This window comes from Homo sapiens, chromosome 20, assembly GCF_000001405.40.
Source record: "Homo sapiens chromosome 20, GRCh38.p14 Primary Assembly".
NCBI lineage: Eukaryota > Metazoa > Chordata > Mammalia > Primates > Hominidae > Homo > Homo sapiens.
Window position 1 is genome coordinate 64168950 of NC_000020.11, and position 18308 is coordinate 64187257.

The following is an 18308-nucleotide window of genomic DNA, read 5'->3' on the forward strand; positions in this document are numbered from 1 at the left end:
TTCACACCTCCATCGTGTTCAACACTGGTCTGAGGGCTGGGGCAGAAGCCATCTGGGTCCTCTTCTTTTTTTCCATTTTGCTGCCTGCAATCCACACATCAGAGGAGGAGCGTGAGAAGAGGGGGCCCTGGGTCAAGGCGGTTGGAGCCTCTCACCTGGTCCTGGGGGACCCTCCATGTCTCCCTCAGGGACCCACAGAGCTGCCAGTGGCTGACCTGTCCTGCCTGAGTGGGAGGAGAGTGGGAGTTTGGATGCTCCATGGTGCACCAAGGCCTGCTTTAGAAGGCCCTAGAAGGTCCCTGAGACTCTCGGACCGCAAACTGACAGCAGCAGGTGCCTGGGGTGGCCTCCCAGTGAGCCAGAGCCACAGACCCGAGGCGCGTCCCCAATCCCGGTGTGCGCCTCGCTGAGCTAGCTTGTCAAAGCGCTTGGGTCTTTACACCTACAGGGTTTTTGGGTTCTGAAAATCAAATGGCTTTAGCAGTCCTGCTCTGTGGGCAGCCAAAGTGGCTCCTAACTGAAGGTGCTGCCCATTCTTTACAAGACTTAGAGCTGGGGGACAAGTTCCCTCTTGGCTCTGAGTTTCCCAGGATAACTGCCGTCCCAGGGAGCCCGGGGATGGTTCAGAGCAGCCTCCCAGTTACTGCTGACTGAATACTTGGTTGTCAGTCGCTCGTCAGCATGTGGGATTGTGCTCACCCTGCCCTTACCAAAGTTTTGTTTAGGGAAAAACAGAGATTTGAAATTGGGACGACTTACTATGGTTAACATTATTTTCATTGAGACTGGGCCTTAATCTTCGAATGGAACAAAAAATCTGACTTAGGTCGTAAGGGGCAGAGAAACACGTTTGACGCTGTTATTTTAATCGTTGAGACCGTGCTAACTTGTTCAGTTCTCATGAACGTGTTCTGTACTGGACACTGAGGCTGGGAGGCAAATTAGCTTCCCAGGTGAGTGGTGTAGCTCGAATCTAAGATCTTTCCAGCACAGCCTCCCTCACAGTCCCACCCAGCCCCACCCAGCCTTCCTGCCGAGTGCCCCAGGCTGCCATGGAGGCTGCCCGCAGGCCACAGTATGACCCTCACTGCCCTCGTGTCTCTTCCTCACAGCCTGGGACATATCTAGAGCCTGTCCCCAGCATACCCTCCAACCTTATTCTCCGTCCCAAACTGGGTTGTTACCCACGATTCCCAAACATGCCTCCCTATCTCCCTTCATCTCCTGCAGCTGAATTTTTGCTTCTCTTTCAAGGCTTCTTACAGATGCCACCCCGGGCCCTCCTTTACTTACCTTTACTCTCACGTGTCTCACATTTGAAATCCCGCTCTCGGGATGCAATGTCTCTGCTGTGACATTGCATCAGACTGATGGGTATCCCTGCTTGCTTTCCGGGAGAGCCTGCAGGCAACCAGCTCTGGGGGCTGCTGGGCCTGAGGAAAGCATCCCAAGTCAAGGGGCTGCTGGACCCAATGGGGCACTGCAAGTCTGGACCAGGGAAGGATCCACATTTTAGCTTTGAGGTTGGAAGGACACTTGTGTTGGGAAGAAAAGCTACTTAAATGCTCAGTTGAGCAGTTCTGAATTATTCCTCCACTCTGTTCCTTCTTGAGGTTGAGCCCTGCCTTCTGGTTATTTGAGATCAAGTCCGCCTAGATAAAATGTTAGACTATTACTGCACATTAAAGAGGTACCTCTTACAGTCATTTTTTTTTAAGTGGTCTGATTTTGTTTTGGCTGGCTTATTTAGAGTTTTGTGCTTCCTCATTTTATTTCCACGAAGGCTGTGCCCAACCTTAGCCTCGGTGAGCCGTGACCCAGCCATGTCACCGATGCGTCAAAGTGGGTTGGCTGTGAGGCATTCATTCTCTCCCCATGACACAGATAGACAAATTGGTCATATATATATATATATATATATATATATATATATATAGAGAGAGAGAGAGAGAGAGAGAGAGAGAGAGAGAGAGAGAGAGAGAGAGACGGAGTCTTGCTCTGTTGGCCTGGCTGGAGTGCAGTGGCGCCTTCTTGGCTGCAACCTCCGCCTCCGGGTTCAAGCAATTCCGTCTGCCTCAGTCTCCCAAGTAGCTGGGACTGCAGATGCGTGCCACCAAGTCTGGCTAATTTTTGTATTTTTTTTTTTTTTAACAGAGATGGGGTTTTGCCATGTTGGCGAGGCTGGTCTTGAACTCCTGACCTCAGGTGATCTGCCTGCCTCCGCCTCCCAAAGTGCTGGTATTACAGGTGTGAGCCACTGTGCCCGGCCAAATTTACCCAATTTTTAAGAGTTATGACGTGCTGCAAGCTTGCTGCCTTCCCTCATCCAGCGGTAAGTCCTGTAAGGAGTCTGCTTCCTAGGTGCATCAGCCAGATAGGGAAAACAAAGGGATTTGTTACTGAATGGCATTCAGGGAAGCAATCCCTAGAAGGCTGCCTGGAGCCTGTCTCGGGGAATCCGTTCCAGGACTCTGGGCCCTGCACCTCTTCCCTGTGGAGTGTCACCCACACCGGTGGCCTGGGCTTTGTCTGGCTGCAAATCGCACATGCGGCTTCTAAGTCAGAACCTGCTGCTGGATGTGGAGCTCCCTTCATCCCCAGGGTCTGAGCCTTTGTCCTTGGCTGACCCCTATCCTCTGGCATCTGGAGGAACCCAAACCCTAACCCCTAACCTCTGGCATCTGGAGGAACCCAAACCCTAACTCCCTACACCTCTGGCATCTGGAGGAACCCAAACCCTAACCCCTAACCTCTGGCATCTGGAGGAACCCAAACCCTAACTCCCTACACCTCTGGCATCTGGAGGAACCCAAACCCTAACCCCTAACCTCTGGCATCTGGAGGAAGCCAAACCCTAACCCCTAACCTCTGGCATCTGGAGGAACCCAAACCCTAACCCCCTACACCTCTGGCATCTGGAGGAACCCAAACCCTAACCCCCTACACCTCTGGCATCTGGAGGAACCCAAACCCACTTCAATATAAGAGTTAGAGTCCAATTCCTCTTCCTGGAGAGCCCTCTGATGGCCTTGGGACCCTGGACCTGGTGAGCTCTCCCCCTGCCAGCCCCTCCTACTGGCCACCCACTTCCTGCCCAGTCACCCAGAGGCCAGGCCACCTCTGGTGTGGGTAAAGCGTTTGTGTTTTCCCCAAATGTGTTCTGTGTTGGCTCTCGTGTACTGACCACTGTCCATCCAGGCTGGGAAATTACCATACACATCCCCCCGCCCCCCACAATTTTTCTAAGCCTGTAGAGCAGCAGAGGGGGCTGCTCTGAGCCCTGGAGCTAGGGCTGCAGTTGGACCCATCAGAGAGCAGCTGCCTGGGCTTACCCTACCCAAGCAGGGATTTGGGCAGGGGTCCTGCAGTTGGAGAGCCTGGGATTGGAGAAGGAAAACAGAACTGTTGTGAAAGCCAAAATCCCCAAGGGCTTTGAGGCCTGGGGATCTTCCCTCGAGCTCTCTCCCTTCTGAACTGGGGATGAGCCAGCGTGTGGGCTCATCCTGACCCTAAAGGGAATGTGAGATGCCCCTCCTAGTGGAATTTTGTCTTCAAGGCCTCAGTAAAATGTGGTTTTAAGGCAGAAGGAGATGGCCATTTCCTTTCTTTTTGGGCTGGAAAGCTGAACGGTTCTAAGAAAAATTTCTGGGACCAAGGAACGAAAATGCTGGAGCAGAATTCCAGAGCAGGACCTCTTGATCCCGCGAAGCCGACGTGTCTTCTGGGGAGTTCCCAAAGATCCATGGGGAAGACGCCCCCAAACCCAGTGCTGCTGGCTCTGGCCATACCCTCTTTTTTTTTTTTTTTTTTTTTTTGAAGATGGAGTCTCACTCTGTTGCCCAGGCTGGAGTGCAGTGGCGTGATCTTGGCTCACTGCAACCTCCGCCTACTGGGTTCAGCAATTCTCCTGCCTCGGCCTCCTGCATGTGCCACCACACCTGGCTAATTTTTGTATCTTTAGTAGAGACAGGGTTTCACCATGTTGGTCAGGCTGGTCTTTAACTCCTGCCCTCAAGTGATCCACCCACCTCGGCCTCCCAAAGTGTTAGGATTACAGGCTTGAGCCACCATTCCTGGCCTCATACCCTCTTAATTCTTATCTTGCATCTGGAATACCTGTTGGACCAGGCCTGTTTCCATCACAGCCCCTTCTTATTGCCTTTGTGTTCTCTGTGTTCTACCCCTTCCCATACCCCAGGATTCAGGCAGGCGAGTCCAGTTGTGCCTGATTGGAAAAAGTGTCTCTGATGGTGGCCCAGTGAGGCAAGGCCCATGGGTCAGCCTGGCCAATTTCCCTCCCCTCCTGAGCACCGTGGGAGGGTCAGGCCTCAAGCAGCCCTCGGAGGCAGCAGTCACAGACAGAGGTGGGCTGTTGGACAGGTGCGGCTGATAGAGTGGGTGTCTTTTGTGGGCTTCTCCCCAGCCTGTGGCCTGGCCTAGTCAGTAGAGATGGTCAGGGGAGCAGGAGGGAGCCCATACCCCAGTGCCTGTAGTTGTGTCCATTTCCCCTCCCTGACTTCTCCTCCTGCAGCATCCTTCCCTTTAGTTGTGTCCATTTCCCCTCCCTGACTTCTCCTCCTGCAGCATCCTTCCCTTTAGTTGTGTCCATTTCCCCTCCCTGACTTCTCCTCCTGCAGCATCTTTCCTAGTTGTGTCCATTTCCCCTCCCTGACTTCTCCTCCTGCAGCATCTTTCCTTGTAGTTGTGTCCATTTCCCCTCCCTGGCTTCTCCTCCTGCAGCATCTTTCCTTGTAGTTGTGTCCATTTCCCCTCCCTGACTTCTCCTCCTGCAGCATCCTTCCCTGTAGTTGTGTCCATTTCCCCTCCCTGGCTTCTCCTGCAGCATCTTTCCCTGTAGTTGTGTCCATTTCCCCTCCCTGGCTTCTCCTGCAGCATCTTTCCCTGTAGTTGTGTCCATTTCCCCTCCCTGGCTTCTCCTGCAGCATCTTTCCCTGTAGTTGTGTCCATTTCCCCTCCCTGGCTTCTCCTGTAGCATCTTTCCCTGTAGTTGTGTCCATTCCCCCTCCCTGGCTTCTCCTGTAGCATCTTTCCTAGTTGTGTCCATTTCCCCTCCCTGGCTTCTCCTGCAGCATCTTTCCCTGTAGTTGTGTCCATTTCCCCTCCCTGGCTTCTCCTGTAGCATCTTTCCTAGTTGTGTCCATTTCCCCTCCCTGGCTTCTCCTCCTGCAGCATCTTTCCCTGTAGTTGTGTCCATTCCCCCTCCCTGGCTTCTCCTGTAGCATCTTTCCTAGTTGTGTCCATTTCCCCTCCCTGGCTTCTCCTGTAGCATCTTTCCTAGTTGTGTCCATTTCCCCTCCCTGGCTTCTCCTGCAGCATCTTTCCCTGTAGTTGTGTCCATTTCCCCTCCCTGGCTTCTCCTGCAGCATCTTTCCCTGTAGTTGTGTCCATTTCCCCTCCCTGGCTTCTCCTGCAGCATCTTTCCCTGTAGTTGTGTCCATTTCCCCTCCCTGGCTTCTCCTGTAGCATCTTTCCCTGTAGTTGTGTCCATTCCCCCTCCCTGACTTCTCCTCCTGCAGCATCTTTCCCTGTAGTTGTGTCCATTTCCCCTCCCTGGCGTCTCCTCCTGCAGCATCTTTCCCTGTAGTTGTGTCCATTTCCCCTCCCTGGCTTCTCCTGTAGCATCTTTCCTAGTTGTGTCCATTTCCCCTCCCTGGCTTCTCCTCCTGCAGCATCTTTCCCTGTAGTTGTGTCCATTCCCCCTCCCTGGCTTCTCCTGTAGCATCTTTCCTAGTTGTGTCCATTTCCCCTCCCTGGCTTCTCCTGTAGCATCTTTCCTAGTTGTGTCCATTTCCCCTCCCTGGCTTCTCCTGCAGCATCTTTCCCTGTAGTTGTGTCCATTTCCCCTCCCTGGCTTCTCCTGCAGCATCTTTCCCTGTAGTTGTGTCCATTTCCCCTCCCTGGCTTCTCCTGTAGCATCTTTCCCTGTAGTTGTGTCCATTTCCCCTCCCTGGCTTCTCCTGCAGCATCTTTCCCTGTAGTTGTGTCCATTTCCCCTCCCTGGCTTCTCCTGCAGCATCTTTCCCTGTAGTTGTGTCCATTTCCCCTCCCTGGCTTCTCCTGTAGCATCTTTCCCTGTAGTTGTGTCCATTTCCCCTCCCTGGCTTCTCCTGCAGCATCTTTCCCTGTAGTTGTGTCCATTTCCCCTCCCTGGCTTCTCCTGTAGCATCTTTCCCTGTAGTTGTGTCCATTCCCCCTCCCTGGCGTCTCCTCCTGCAGCATCTTTCCCTGTAGTTGTGTCCATTCCCCCTCCCTGGCTTCTCCTGCAGCATCTTTCCCTGTAGTTGTGTCCATTTCCCCTCCCTGGCTTCTCCTGCAGCATCTTTCCCTGTAGTTGTGTCCATTTCCCCTCCCTGGCTTCTCCTGTAGCATCTTTCCTAGTTGTGTCCATTTCCCCTCCCTGGCTTCTCCTGCAGCATCTTTCCCTGTAGTTGTGTCCATTTCCCCTCCCTGGCTTCTCCTGTAGCATCTTTCCCTGTAGTTGTGTCCATTCCCCCTCCCTGACTTCTCCTCCTGCAGCATCTTTCCCTGTAGTTGTGTCCATTTCCCCTCCCTGGCGTCTCCTCCTGCAGCATCTTTCCCTGTAGTTGTGTCCATTTCCCCTCCCTGGCTTCTCCTGTAGCATCTTTCCTAGTTGTGTCCATTTCCCCTCCCTGGCTTCTCCTCCTGCAGCATCTTTCCCTGTAGTTGTGTCCATTCCCCCTCCCTGGCTTCTCCTGTAGCATCTTTCCTAGTTGTGTCCATTTCCCCTCCCTGGCTTCTCCTGTAGCATCTTTCCTAGTTGTGTCCATTTCCCCTCCCTGGCTTCTCCTGCAGCATCTTTCCCTGTAGTTGTGTCCATTTCCCCTCCCTGGCTTCTCCTGCAGCATCTTTCCCTGTAGTTGTGTCCATTTCCCCTCCCTGGCTTCTCCTGTAGCATCTTTCCCTGTAGTTGTGTCCATTTCCCCTCCCTGGCTTCTCCTGCAGCATCTTTCCTAGTTGTGTCCATTTCCCCTCCCTGGCTTCTCCTGCAGCATCTTTCCCTGTAGTTGTGTCCATTTCCCCTCCCTGGCTTCTCCTGTAGCATCTTTCCCTGTAGTTGTGTCCATTCCCCCTCCCTGGCGTCTCCTCCTGCAGCATCTTTCCCTGTAGTTGTGTCCATTTCCCCTCCCTGGCTTCTCCTGCAGCATCTTTCCCTGTAGTTGTGTCCATTTCCCCTCCCTGGCTTCTCCTGTAGCATCTTTCCCTGTAGTTGTGTCCATTCCCCCTCCCTGGCGTCTCCTCCTGCAGCATCTTTCCCTGTAGTTGTGTCCATTTCCCCTCCCTGGCTTCTCCTCCTGCAGCATCTTTCCCTGTAGTTGTGTCCATTCCCCCTCCCTGGCTTCTCCTCCTGCAGCATCTTTCCCTGTAGTTGTGTCCATTTCCCCTCCCTGGCTTCTCCTGCAGCATCTTTCCCTGTAGTTGTGTCCATTTCCCCTCCCTGGCTTCTCCTGCAGCATCTTTCCCTGTAGTTGTGTCCATTTCCCCTCCCTGGCTTCTCCTCTTCTAGCATCTTTCCTGCTCCCTGGTAGCCTCTTGGGAGCCACCTATTTCTGGAGGTCCCCACTCTGGGTTCCTTGTCCTGGGTGTGGGGCGAATGTGCTGGACTGGGGTCACAGCATTGAACCCCACTTGGAGCTGAGGATGTTCTCGCCCCAGAAGGAAAAGCTGTGTGTGTCTGCGTGGAGCAGTGTGGAGTGGTTTCCTTGGTGCCGCCTGGGTTCCGGGCACCCGGCCTGGGTGTGAGGCCTGGTCACATGGCTGAACTGCTCTCCCAGGCACCCCGGGAGGGATGAATGTGACACTATTGGTGTCCCTCCCAGCACACTGCCTGCCCTGGGCTGGGCACACTCCTCCCCTGTTGGCAGCCGGGGATGACAGGCCGCCTGGAGAGCCCGTCCTGTGATTTGGTTTGGAAAGTCATTATTACTGCAGAGCAGTTTAGCTGTTGTTTTTACAGCGTTGGTAAGGTTAAAAGAAATAATGATAATAATATAAGAAAGACTCAGCCACAGTAACTGCCTGCAACATGCTATTTGCATTTTTAAGGAAACACTTCTTTGAGACAGCCTGGGTGAAAGGTCACTATTTGCATATAAATGGAAAAGAAAGTGTATGATGCTGGAAGTTACATCTGTATTATTTTCTCAGCAGTGAGCTGCTGTTGGAGAGATTAGAGGACATGGCTTGCATTTGGCTTTTATTGAATAGAGAAAGTACCAGCGAGGCTGATTTAGAAGCAAAATAATGAGAGAAATGTGCAAAGCTATAGAATTGCCAACTCCCTGCCCCCACCTCTCCCTTCTCTCATTTTCACCTAAACTCAGCAAAAGCTGGTCTGCCTTTGCGCCACTCAGCAAGTCTTCATTTTACTTCTCTCTGGATTCCAGAGAGGAAAAAAAAAAAGGAAAGAAAAAGAGCAAAACTTGCCCTCATTTTCCCCTCGGTCCCATTTGTGTTTCCTGCCAGTGTTTCCTCCAGATGCCCCAAACCCCGGAGCAGAAGCCCCTGTGACTGTGGCCCCCCAGGGTGTGGAGAGGAAGAGGCCCTCGGGGCGGGGACAAGAGGGCACCCCTCTCCAGGGTGGGGACAAGAGGGCACCCCTCTCCAGGGGTGGGGACATGAGGGCACCCCTCTCCGGGGGCGGGGACAAGAGGGCACCCCTCTCCAGGGCAGGGACAAGAGGGTACCCCTCTCCGGAGCTAGTGGGCCTGTTTTGGACCCGCTGCTGGGAAAGGCTGGGGGCAGGGGCAAATGTGGGGGGTCCTGTGTGGGCTGAGGGAGTCCTGTTCCACCTTCCCCTCAGCCCCATGGGACCCGCAGTTTCTAGGGCATGGGTTCCACCTTCTTCATGGAAATTTCCAAGCTTGTCAGACTTTCTCAGGTGCCTGGTCCCCTGGGCTTTCCAGGATGCCCCCAGGAACAAAGCCAGCCATCCCTGAGAGAAACCCTGGGTGGGGCTGGGGCCGGCACCTGCCCAGCCAGCTTTGGAAGCAGACTTGGCTGAGCACATCATGGACTTCAGGGTCTTCCAGGAGCAGTCCTGGGACAGAGGGAGGTGGAGCGTCCTGCCCGGAGGAGGCACCTCAGGATCCTCCTTGGTCCCAGCTTCTCTCTTCACAGAGGCCTCCACTGACCACTGGTTACTTAAATCACAGTCCCCCATCCTCATTATTTTCAAAAATACATTTTGAAACAATCTCAAAGCCACAGAAACGTTTCAAGTAAAGGGCCAAGCTGTTTCTCCTGAGCGTTTGAGAGCGTGTTGCTGATGCGATGCCATCACCAAGGACACTTGCATGGGTGTTTCCAGCAGAGAGGCCGCTCTCCCACTGCTCCACCCTCACCTTCTCGGCCATCTGGTCCTCAGACCCATTCAGGGGTGGGTTCAGAACCACGTGCTGTGCGTGGTCCTGGTGTCTCGTTCGTCTGAAGTCGTTTTTAGCACTCCTCGCCTTTCGTGACCTTGTGCTTTTGGAAGAGCGCTGAGCCGTTATTCAGTGGGATACCCTTCAACGTGGGAGCACTGAGCCGTTATTCGGTGGGATACCCTTCAACGTGGGAGCACTGAGCCGTTATTCGGTGGGATACCCTTCAACGTGGCAGCACTGAGCCGTTATTCGGTGAGATACCCTTCAACGTGGGAGCACTGAGCCGTTATTCGGTGGGATGCCCTTCAACGTGGGAGCACTGAGCCGTTATTCGGTGGGATACCCTTCAACGTGGGAGCACTGAGCCGTTATTCGGTGAGATACCCTTCAACGTGGGAGCACTGAGCCGTTATTCGGTGGGATGCCCTTCAACGTGGGAGCACTGAGCCGTTATTTGGTGGGATGCCCTTCAACGTGGGAGCACTGAGCCGTTATTCGGTGGGATACCCTTCAACGTGGGAGCACTAAGCCGTTATTCAGTGGGATGCCCTTCAACGTGGGAGCACTGAGCCGTTATTCAGTGGGATACCCTTCAACGTGGGAGCACTGAGCCGTTATTCGGTGAGATACCCTTCAACGTGGGAGCACTGAGCCGTTATTCGGTGAGATACCCTTCAAGGTGGGAGCACTGAGCCGTTATTCAGTGGGATACCCTTCAACGTGGGAGCACTGAGCCGTTATTTGGTGAGATACCCTTCAAGGTGGGAGCACTGAGCTGTTATTCAGTGGGATACCCTTCAACGTGGGAGCACTGAGCCGTTATTCGGTGAGATACCCTTCAACGTGGGAGCACTGAGCCATTATTCGGTGGGATGCCCTTCAACGTGGGAGCACTGAGCCGTTATTCGGTGGGATGCCCTTCAACGTGGGTTTGTCCAGTGTTGCCCGTGATGCAGGAACACCTGAGTGGGAGGTTCTCCCTTCACCTGATGCTGATTTGTCCCTTAACTCATAATGTTGACTTGGTCACTGGATTAGATGGGGCATCCCAGCACCTCTATGCCAGAGGGAAATGCCAGTCATTTTCCCTTTGCAATTAATAAATATTTGGGGGGAAGGTACTTTGAAACTATGGAAATATCTCCATCCTCAACAAACCATCACTTAACTTTGATGGATATCTCTATAGACTCGTTGTTTCCTGTTTTACCCCATGGGCTGAAAGCCTTCTTTGGATGCTCAGATTGTCCCTGATTGACCAGTGGAAGCCCAGTACAGAGGCTCCTGCAGCCTCGGTCCAGCTCCCCTGTCCTTTCTTGTTCTTGCCTTTCCTGCTTGGGGCCTGGAACTCTGGTTCCTTTTATTAGAAAATGGTGTTAGCCTGAGACCTGGGTGTTGGGCCTCTAGTGGACATGGCTGGGAAGACGTATGTGTGTACACACACATACTCACATGCTACACACAGTTACACAATGCTACACACACACAGTTACACACACATACTACACACAGGCTACACACAGTTACACACACGCTACACAGTTACATGCATGCTCTATACAGTTATACACACATGCTACACACACAGTTACACATTTGCACACAGTTACACACTCACATGCTACACACAGTTACACACATACGCCACACACGCTACACACATGCTACATGCAGTTACATGCCACACAGTCACACACAGTTACACACCACACGCAGTTACACACACATGCTACACACAGGTACATGCTACACACACGCTACACACAGTTATACATGCTACACACACGCTACACACAGTTACATGCTACACAGTTACATGCATGCTCTATACAGTTATACACACATGCTACACACACACAGTTACAGACACACGCCACACACACACCCTTTTTCACCTAGGTCTGTATTTACTTCTCCATCTATCGATGTTTATTGAAAAACACAAGTTCATATTGATAACCTCTGATTCCAATTCCCACACAGGGTTCATTCTAAGGTTCTGCCTTTCCGTAGGCATAACGTCCTCTTCCAACAGTGAGAAAGCTGGTTTCCATTATCTTTAATGTGTTTACTTCTTTGATCCACCTCTTTCCCCATACCAGCACCCTCCTTACTCCACACAAGTGCTGACCCCTTGCTGAGCCCCTCTCTGCAGGCCAACCTCTGGGTCGCCACAGGACAGCCCCACCCTCTGTTCTAGGCCTTGGTGGGGACACCTTCTCCCCTGCAAGGGCTCTGGTGCTGGGGAGCCTCACTGGCCAGTTGCCCAGGACTTTGGGGTTCACAGGGTGTGGGCCAGGACAATCCAAGTATAATGGGCTGATTGGCCTCCCTGTGGCTCCAGAACTGGACCTTTTCGGACACTTGTGCTCACAGTGACCAGCTAGCTTCCTTTGTAGCGTTGAGCGTTATCTTTCTTTATCTTCAGTGTTTCGCTGGTGGACCAAACAGTTTACCAGTGTTATGTCTCATACAAGATTTTGTGGTTTGTTTTTCTTGTAGACAGTGATCACCACCCCTGCCACATGCACCTCCCTGCCCTCGCTTCCCTTACTCGCGGTTCAATGCTCAGTTTTTGAGGCTGTGCATATCTGGATTTTTTTATTCTTCTACTTCCTGTGATCAGTGTTTTGCCTGGGCATAGAGGACATGCCCTGAAGTTGAATGTCAACTCCCTTGAAATTGGGAAGAGGCTTTCTCTACTGTCTGTGAATGCTGCTCTGGAGCAATGTGATCCTATTCTAGTTATCGGTTTTGTTTGTGACTTTTTCCCACTTCAAAAGCTTTTAGGGTCTTTTTTCTATTCCTGGTGTTTTAAAATTTTATAGTGCCGGGCTTGGTTGGATGTGGGTCTCTTTTTATTCACGATTATGGGCACTTAATGGGCTTTTTAATCTAAAAATATAATTTCCTTTAGTTCTCGGAAAATTTTTTTTATTATTTAACTTACACTTTTCCTTCCCATTTTCTTAATTCTCTCTTTCTGGAACTCCCAAATCGGGTGTCAGTCCTCACTCAGCGTTTCCTCCGTCTCTGCTATCTCTTCGTCCTTTTGTTCACTTTCCTAGTATATTTCTTTGACTCTATCTCCCAAGTCTTCTGTTGAATTTTTCATTTTGGTTTTACAATTTATTTCCAAGTTGGGGAGGATGGACACAATGGTATTAAGCCTTCCCAAACAAGTCCTCCTGTCACTGTCTGGGCTGGGCCATATCTGCCCTGTCCACATGCGTCTGGAGAGTCTGTGTCCTGCCTCCTGGTTTGTCCTTGTTCCTGCTCTAACCGCTGCCCACACTGTTAGTCGAGGGAGCCTGAAGGAGCCTCCTGAAACACTCATTTGCTCATCCAGTGCAGGTTCCTCCCACAGGCCAGGAAAGGTCCCAGGAACAGCCATTATTGAGCACCCTGGCAGTTCTCAGACTGCGGTGGGGACCTCGCTTTGAACTTTGAGAGGCAGATGCTGGACCTAGTATTTCTGCTGCCTCCTCCAGGAGCCATGTGACATGGATGTGAGTCTGTTTGCCTCCTAGGGCCTTACCTTCCTATGTCTGGGGGTGTAGCCTGGACCTCAGGGGTGTCCCCTTGGGTGTCAGAGGCTCTTTGGGACTAGAGGGAGGAATCCTGGGCTGTGGTCCCCCAGGAGTCTACTGTGACCTGTGACTGGTTTCGTGTGGGCCTTAAATTGTTTCTAAATTTTTATTCTAACCGTTTTCTTGCTGCCTTGCCAGGCTCTGATTTAAACCCAAGTAGCAGCAAGAAGGGGATAAATGAGGGATTGAGAGGAGAAGCAGGAAAAAAGTTTTTTGTTTTTTGTTTTTTTTCCTTTCGAATGGCAAGATGTAAGTTTATACTCAACCCTGGGCCCAGCTTTTCAGTTTCACTCTGCATGAGGTATGATGAAAGCTAAGAAGGCCTGCCCTCTCCAGGGAAGTGGCGGCTGGAGCAGCCACGGTGTCCCAGGGCGTGGCAGGCCCAGCCAATACGCACGCACAGGCAGAATGGGGGGCTGTTGCTGCTGGGTTAGCTACCAGGTGGGATTGGCCCTGGCCATCGGCTCAGCTGCATGGATAGCTGTGGACACATCCTGACATAGCACTGGCCGAGGTGGGAGGTGAGCTTGGGCCGTTCTGGGTCCCGATGCCTCCTGGCTGTGCAGAGGCAGGTCGCCTTCCTTTGGCCCTGTTGAATGAGTACAGCTCTAACTGCTCTGGGGAGTGGGAGGGTGAAGTGGACCCAAGAGCTCTCACTCTGACCTCCGTGGCCTGTCTCGTGTCACTCGCATGACCCATCCTCCTGTTGTATCCCTGGACCCAGCCCTCCCTGGCCTCCAGGAGCAGGGAGTGATAGGCATCAAGGTGGTCCAGTTTGGGGTTGAGGCGCAGCGGTCCAGAGGCTGGCCCAGGACACAGGCTCACAGAACCCAGTCTGGAGAACCAAAGGGGACTTGCTGGGACCTCCTGCCCTAGGCAAGAGTCCCCAGAGTGTCTCACTGACCATCCACATGCCACTGTTTAAAAACAGCGTTATTGGAATGTAATGTGCACATCACAGAATTCACCTATTAAAAATATACAATTCAGTGGTTTTAGCGTACGTGTAGGGTTGTACATCTATCACCACAGCCCAAGTTTAGACCGTTTTGATCACCCCAGAAAGAAACCCCATGCCCGTTCACAGTCGTTCTCCATTTTCTCCTCCACCAGTCCTAGGCAACCACGAATCTACTTTCTATCTCTACGAATTTGCCTGTTCTGGCCATTTCACAAATATGGAATTGTTCAATATGTGGTCTTTTGTCCCTGGCCTCTTTCACTGAACACGAAGTTTTTGAGATTCACCCACATTGTTGCATGTATAAGCAACTTCATTCCTTTTTATTGCCAAAGACTGTGCCACTGTATTTCGTATCACCCATTCAGCAGTTGATGGACATTTGGGTTTTTCCACTTTTTGGCTAGTATGAATAAAGCTGCTATGAATAGTTGTGTACAAGCCTTTATGTGACATATGTTTTTATTTCTCTTGGGCAAATATCTAGAGTGGAATTCCTGAGTCATGTAACTCTATGTTGAACATTTTGAGTAACTGCCATGCCATTTTCCAAGTGATTGTGCTATTTTACATTCGCATCAGCATTCTATGAGGGTTCTTGCCAACACTTGTTACTATCTGTTTATCTTTAACATTACAGCCATTTTAGTGCAATGGTATCTGAGTGTGGTTTTGATTTGCATTTCCTGGATTACTAGCTGTTGGGCATCTCTTCATGTGCTTATTGGCCATTCCCGTGTTATCTTTGGAGAAATGTCTGTTCAAGTCCTCTGCTCATTCTAAAATTGGGTTATTTGTCTTATTATGAGTTATGAGAGTTCTTTTTTCCAAATACAAGCTCTTTATCAGATTTACGATTTGCAAATATTTTCTCCCAGTCTTTGGGTTGTCTTTTCACCATATTGATAGTGTTATTCATTTATTTATTTTTGAGACAGAGTCTTGCTCTGTCACGCAGGCTAGAGTGCAGTCGCATGATCTTGGCTCACTGCAACCTCCACCTCCCAGGTTCAAGTGATTCTCCTGCCTCAGCCTCCTAAGTAGCTGGGATTACAGACACGCACCGCCATACCCAGCTAATTTTGTATTTTCAGTAGAGACGGGGCTTCACCATGCTGGCCAGGCTGGTCTCGAACCCCTGACCTCAAGTGATCTGCTTGCCTCAGTCTCCCAAAGTGTTGGGATTACAGCCGTGAGCCACTGCTCCCGGCCGACAGTGTTATTTTAACTCCGAAAGTTTTAAACCTTGTTGAAGTCCAATATATTACTTTTTTTCTTTAATGGCTTGTAGTGTTGTTGTCATAGCTAAGAAACCATTGCTGAACCCAGAGTCGGAAAGATTTACCGCGGTGTTTTCTAGGAGTTTTGGTTCTTACATTTACATATGTGATCCAGTGCGAGCTAATTTTTGAGAGAGGTCCAACTTCATTTTTTTTTTTGATATCTAGTTGTCCTGGCACGTTTGTTGAAAAGACAGTTTTTTTCCCATTAAATTGTTTTTGTGCCATTGTCAAAAATCAATTGATCATTAATAGAGGGGGTTACTTCTGGACTCTCAATTATGTCCCACTTATCCATATGCCCGTCCTGATGCTAGTAACACATTGCCTTGATTACTGCAGCTTTGTAGTAAGTTTGGAAACTGAGAAGTGTGTCGTCCAACTTTGCTCTTTTTCAGAATTGTTTTGACTAGTCTATATTCCTTGAATTGCCATACAAATTTTTAGAATGAGTTTGTCAGTTTTTGCAAACAGAACAAAACAACACAGCCAGAGAGGTCAGAAATGGTCAGATTCTGGTGAGATTTAGAAAATAACATTGGCAGGATTTGGGGCCAAGGATGACCCTCAGGGTTCTGGCTTGAGGAGCTGATGACTGAAGAGGGGAAGAGGAAAACCCCACGTCACGTAAGAAGCAGATATTGTGGGCAGCGAGGAAGCAAAAAGGAGAAGCCATCTGACATGGGGTGGCCGGGTGGCCAGGAGGAGCCTGTACAGGTGACCGACAAGGTCAGGGGCGAGTGTTTGCCACAGAAGGGGGTGAACAGACACGCACCGCAGTGATGTCTAGTGGGCCCTCACGTGCCCTGTGAACATGAAGCCGCCTGTTGTTCCAGTAGAGGGATGTGGGTGGAGGCCAACTGTGGTGGGGAGTGAAGCGTAGTTATGAAGCAGGAGGAGATGGAGAGGGGGCTGGGCAGGGGCGTGAGGTCCAAAGAGACTGTGTTTTTAAACATGGATGCCTCAAGCCAGTTGAAGAGTTGGGAAGAGTAGTTCAATATTCCAGAAGAATGGAGGGAAGAGTTGATATTCCTGGGAACTTTCATTGACAGTGGGAAGGAGGTGGGTATAAAGTCCAGATGGACAAGCTGGCTCAGCAGGGAGGCAAGACCCCATCTCCTGTGCTGGAGACGGAGGAGGGCTGAGGGGGTGCATGGGAGAATGGAGGTGTGGGCTCCTCTCAAGTGACTACCCTTCCCCTCTTTGCTGAGGGGCAGGTGGTAACAGCTCCTGGCCCCAAAGGCAGCCCTAGTTACCAGAGATGCAAAACCTAGTGAAGACTGAAAACATGTGGCTTTCCACACTTACCACCTGGCCTCTCACTCAGTCTTCCTGTTATTTTGTTCTTGTTTTCAGAGTGGGGAGGTTTTACACAGTGGAAGGGGGTCAGGTTGCCAGGGCTGGAGTGGATCAGAGCTAACTGCCACAGGGACTCCCATCCGGAGGCCCAGGGGATGCACCATGGGGGCAGGTGGGCTCAGGCCAGATTCCAGGCTACCGAGCCAGCATGAAAACAGCCACGGTCGCCCGCAGGGGGTCCCCCATGGGGTTGTGCGTGGAGTGGCCACAGTGCCAGTGCAAGGAGGAAGTGTGTGCTGGCAGTGGGTCAGCCGGCAGCTGGGGTGTTAGCTCTGGGACAAGGGGGCTCTCCTTGCCATGACGACAGAAGGAAACCTTGGGGTAGGCCAGCAGCACTTCCTGGGAAGAGCCCAGCAGAGCACTGGCTCTCAGTGGAAGCGTCCTGTCTGGGGCCTGGGTCAGGCTGGTCTCCAGTTTGCAGTGCTGCTGAGTTGGAAAAAGAGGGCTTCATTAGGAGAAGACAGACGGGGGGCTACAGCTCAGCACTGCACATCTCCCTGGCCTGTGTTGGAGTCTCTGGCCAGTGAGGGGTGGTTCCCTCTCCTCTGGACCTTTGTGCATCAATCTCAGCTGAGGAGGCCCTGTTTGTTTCCTGAGTTTTTCTGCCCACAAGAGCCCCATAAAAGTGAGTGTGGGGCCACCATGGGGACAGATGTGGGGGTTACCTTGAGCAGGCAGGACTCCAGGTGCAAAGATGCCGGGTCCCTAGAGAGGGGTCCCAGCCAGCGCCGCCCTCTGGGTGCCGGGAGCTGATCCCGAGAGGCTTGTTTTCCAGGAGACGTGCTCAGGATGGAGCGGTCTCTGATGTTCCGTTTCCCATTCGCATCCACGAGCAGGGATTCAGATTAACTCACTAGAAACTCAATAACCCAAGAGAACAGGCTCGTCTGGATGAAAACCTCCACTTCACTTCAGATTCCTGACAAGAAAGGCCATGGTGATGACAACAGCACTGACGTCCTCATGGGTTCACTTCCAGGCTCCGTCCACACATGTCTCTCCATCTCCAAATAATTCTTCCCCTCCCACTTTGTGGGTGAAGGACTTAAGTCTCAGAGAGGGTAGTGACCTGCTGCTCAGGTCTGAGTTGGTGGCAGTGCCCTGTGTGAGCTTTGGGGACCCTTGTTCCCACCACAGAGTGTCCATGGAGCAGCATGACTTCTGGAAGGGCGTCTTTATGGAACACCTCCACGTTTCCGTGGAGAGATTTCCTGTAGCCCGTGGCCCCGGCATCCACGTTTCCGTGGAGACTTTTCCTGTAGCCTGTGGCCCCGGCATCCACGTTTCCGTGGAGAGTTTCCTGTAGCACGTGGCTCCGGCATCCACGTTTCCGTGGAGACTTTTCCTGTAGCCCGTGGCCCCGGCATCCATGTTTCCGTGGAGAGTTTTCCTGTAGCACGTGGCTCCGGCATCCACGTTTCCGTGGAGAGTTTTCCTGTAGCCTGTGGCCCCGGCATCCACGTTTCCGTGGAGAGATTTCCTGTAGCCCGTGGCCCCGGCATCCACGTTTCCGTGGAGACTTTTCCTGTAGCCCGTGGCCCCGGCATCCATGTTTCCGTGGAGAGTTTTCCTGTGGCACGTGGCCCCGGCATCCACGTTTCCGTGGAGAGTTTTCCTGTAGCCCATGGCCCCGGCATCCACGTTTCCGTGGAGACTTTTCCTGTAGCCCGTGGCCCCGGCATCCACGTTTCCATGGAGACTTTTCCTGTAG

The 18308-nt window shown here is 51.9% G+C and overlaps 1 protein-coding gene across 1 annotated transcript in view, besides 1 other annotated feature; it reads left to right on the plus strand.

Annotated features, from left to right (window-relative positions):
- The window catches only part of MYT1 (myelin transcription factor 1), a 77802-nt gene that overhangs the window by 4498 nt on the left and 54996 nt on the right, over nt 1–18308 (plus strand). The window lies entirely within an intron of this gene.
- Nucleotides 9385–10085: an enhancer, noted in NCBI's record as "H3K4me1 hESC enhancer chr20:62809687-62810387 (GRCh37/hg19 assembly coordinates)". NCBI's record gives its function as "activates a minimal SCP1, AML or CMV promoter by ChIP-STARR-seq in naive H9 embryonic stem cells {active_cell/tissue: H9 hESC(naive)}" and the evidence as "EXISTENCE:reporter gene assay evidence [ECO:0000049][PMID:30033119]".